The 3,350-nt window shown below is 41.0% G+C and overlaps 1 annotated feature.

Moving 5' to 3' along the window:
- Positions 1,387 to 1,446: a silencer, noted in NCBI's record as "silent region_12274". NCBI's record gives its function as "represses an Ori minimal core promoter by ATAC-STARR-seq in GM12878 lymphoblastoid cells {active_cell/tissue: GM12878}" and the evidence as "EXISTENCE:reporter gene assay evidence [ECO:0000049][PMID:35858748]".

Below are 3,350 nucleotides of genomic sequence, written 5' to 3'. Positions count from 1 at the left end.
GTAAAAATGTCTTGTAAAGAATGATTTAATTTAACGATTTAACATCGAGTATTATCCCCTTTAAACTCAAATTTATGGAAAACCCTTCTGTGCTGTCACCACGTGCCTCACATAATAATTTAGTGAGGAGAGGAGCCACATCAGGGGAGACAAATGCTTTCACTCCAGCATGGGAAGGTAAAGGGAACCCATCTTGCTTTGTTGCTGGTCTCCCCTGATTTTCTTCAAGTAGCCCTTTTAAGGGGTTACTTGGGGGTTAGAGACTGTCACCAACCTGTCCCCCCACTACACCTAGTAGAAACAGAGAATGTGATGGGAGAAATGCAGGCACATGTGGCATTTACCTTCCTTCCCAGGGATAGGGCCCAGACAGCATCGAGGGTAAAGGTTACTTTTGAGTGTGTGTTTTTATTGGTGTCCATGACCAGCTCTTGTGCTAAATATTCAGGCAGAAAAATCCCGATGACTTCCATTTTCTTGGACTAGCTAAATAACTGGCCACATGTAGCCTGAGTTCCCTCCACTGCTGATCATGACCTTGGATAAGTCACGTAGCTGATCTAAATCTGGAAAGGGGGATGACCACATCTCCCTCATTGCCTTGTGAAGCTCAAACAAAAATAATAGCATTGGAAAGCTCTTTATGAGTAAAGCACTCTCATATTTACTATGGTTGAGGGAAAAATAGATTTTTTTCCCCCCAGTCTGAATTGTGCCAACCCTTCTGGCTCACTCACTGCAGGTCCTGCATTCAGTTTGTGGAGTGTGGATTTTGCCTGTTTGTATTCTGATATTCTGCCTGTTTTGGAATGGAAGCTTTCTTTTGTGCAATGATTGTGGTTTTCTGTGAATTATACAGAGTTCTGATCCAAGCATAGTAGAAAAGCTTCATGTGTTTTAAAAAATAAACAATAACAAAAAATTACTATTTTAATGAGCCAACACATGGTCTTTATGTGCCAACCATGGACTGAGCTTTGTAAGATTTCTTTTTTTTTCCTTAGAATCAACAGCAACATAAGAGATATACTTAATGATTTTGCTTCTATAAACTGTAACAGGAAATTCTCCTGGCCTCCAGCCAAAGGATGTACATAGTTAGGTGCAAATTAAGATTAAAATGGTTAGTCTGTGTCTGATCCCATTCCGGTTCTTCCCCCTGGCTGCAAATAGACACAAGGAGAAGGAGTTGTCCCAGTGTTTTTTTCCCCAGGGTCTCCATGTGATCTGTGTGATTCCAGCTGATTCTCGCTGGATGACTTGCCCAGCAATGCAGCAATGCTTAGAGATTTCTCACCGGGCCAGAAGAATCTACATGCACCTGGAAGCACATGCTTTCAGCTTGGGCATAACTGATTGGCTCCAGAATGTGTCTGTGGTTTGCTGGTCACCCTTGAGTCCCAGCAAGAGCAGGGTGCCTCATACATCATAAAAGGCTACATGGTGCGTCTTCCAGGAGGGTGGGCAAACTGCTTAACTACTCAATTTGCTCATTTTTAAAATGGGGTTATAATATTACCCATCTTGGTGGGTTGTTTGGAGCATTCAGTGAGATAATGCTTACAAAGCAATTAGTGCAGGGCCTGGCTAAGGTTAGCTTTTAAAATTGTTGTGTGTCTCCCATCTCCACCTGTGAAGGAGGCTGTACCTCAGTTTCAATGCCTGGTCAAGTAGTACAAGGCTCTTTCCCAAAGCTGCAGAGGCTGGATCCCATTGGGGAGCTACAATAGAGAGACAAGCACCCCACAAAGATTGCAGGATTCCTGCCCTTCTCTTATTTCTGCTCTTCCAGCCTTATCTCTCATCTCCATTAGCAAATTTACTTTCTAAAGCCAGTAGCCCTACCCTTTAAAGGGATTACTTGGTGAATAGTTTAAGAACAAACAATGACAAGTATAATCATTATAGCAATAACTCTTGGTTGGCCTGGATTGGTTTCTTCCTTGCACACATGACAAGGGAGACAGAGTGAAAGAGAAAGGGCAAATTTTTGCATTAGCTTTCCCTGTGAGGGGAGTTAGGGACCCTTTCCCAGTTGAAAAGAGCAATGCTGCTTGGTCCTGGGTGAGACACAATGTGACAGTAACATGCCCCCAAATTCATAAACGCTGGAGGGAGTTGACAGCTGGTATTTTTAAAGGAGCTGATTTGGTGGCTAATTTTATTTATCTTGCTTCCTTTGCCAAGCTCAGCTGCTTCTTTGCCCTGTGCCATTAAGTCCCAGGAGGTCCATAGGCAGCAATTTACAAATCTATTCCTTTCCGTGGCGAAGGTTCTTTTTACCGCCATGGGTTTTTCATACAGAAAATAGAAAATCTAGAAGCCATATAACCAGAGTGATCTTTAATGTTTCATCAAAAGCTGTCCTATATGGGTATTTATTTATATTTAGCCCAGAGTGAAAGGTCCCAGGAGGCTGCAGCCTGAGCAGATTTGGTTCAATATCTGCAAAGGAATTTAAATCAGCTTACCAATAAAGAAATCTTCCTACAAGAGGAAAAAAAAAAGTGGAACTTGAGTCTGATTGACCTTGAGACAAAGACAGCCTGGAAACCATTCAGTAGTCAATAACAGAGCCATGCAGCCTGTAGACATATCTTTGTGAGTGTGCTTATGTGTAAATCGGGCCAGAGGTGCAGGTAGGGAAGCAACATCTTCATACAGTCTCCATGGTTGCATTAGACTGAAAAAAAAGGAATTGATATTTCGTTATAAAGCTGAATGTTAAAAATTAGCATTCCTAAAATTTCTGACAATCTGGCTTAAATAAAATAATAACAGATGTATGTGAAAGTGATATTGCTAGAGAGTAACAGTTGTATAATGGATATCCTGCTGTACAACATTTATGAATAATGCATCATTATCTATTATCTTTAAATCTATCCAGGATTAATAGCTTTGCAGATTATTTAGCCTCCAAGATATAAGGGATAAAATCAATACATATATGTTTTGATAATCGATGACAATCAATTCATTAAAAATAAACACCTAGCCAGCCTCAGTTAAATGCTCAGGAGGTGTCCTTATTCTCTAATTGTATTGGTTTATTTGCCATGCTAGCAATTTGGGATGATATCTTTATAATCCATGTCAATGTTGAAAAAAAAGAGAGAGAATGTTCTCCAGATCCAAGCAAGAAACAAACAAACAAACAAACAACCCAAGACATCTTCTCCAGGAGTTTCAACCTAAAAAAACCAGAGCTTTCTATTGCCCTTGGGGTTTTGCTGCTGCATCTCCTGACACCAGGGGCTGGACAATGATTGGTTTCCTTTGATAAAAAGTTCTTCAGGAAAATAACAGCTTAGTCAGAGGAGGCCACCAGGCTGTGTGCCCCAGCAGTG

Source organism: Homo sapiens, chromosome 2 (assembly GCF_000001405.40).
Source record: "Homo sapiens chromosome 2, GRCh38.p14 Primary Assembly".
Taxonomy (NCBI): Eukaryota; Metazoa; Chordata; class Mammalia; order Primates; family Hominidae; genus Homo; species Homo sapiens.
The sequence above is the reverse complement of the archived record's forward strand: the minus strand, read 5'-3'. Positions and strand labels throughout refer to the sequence as shown.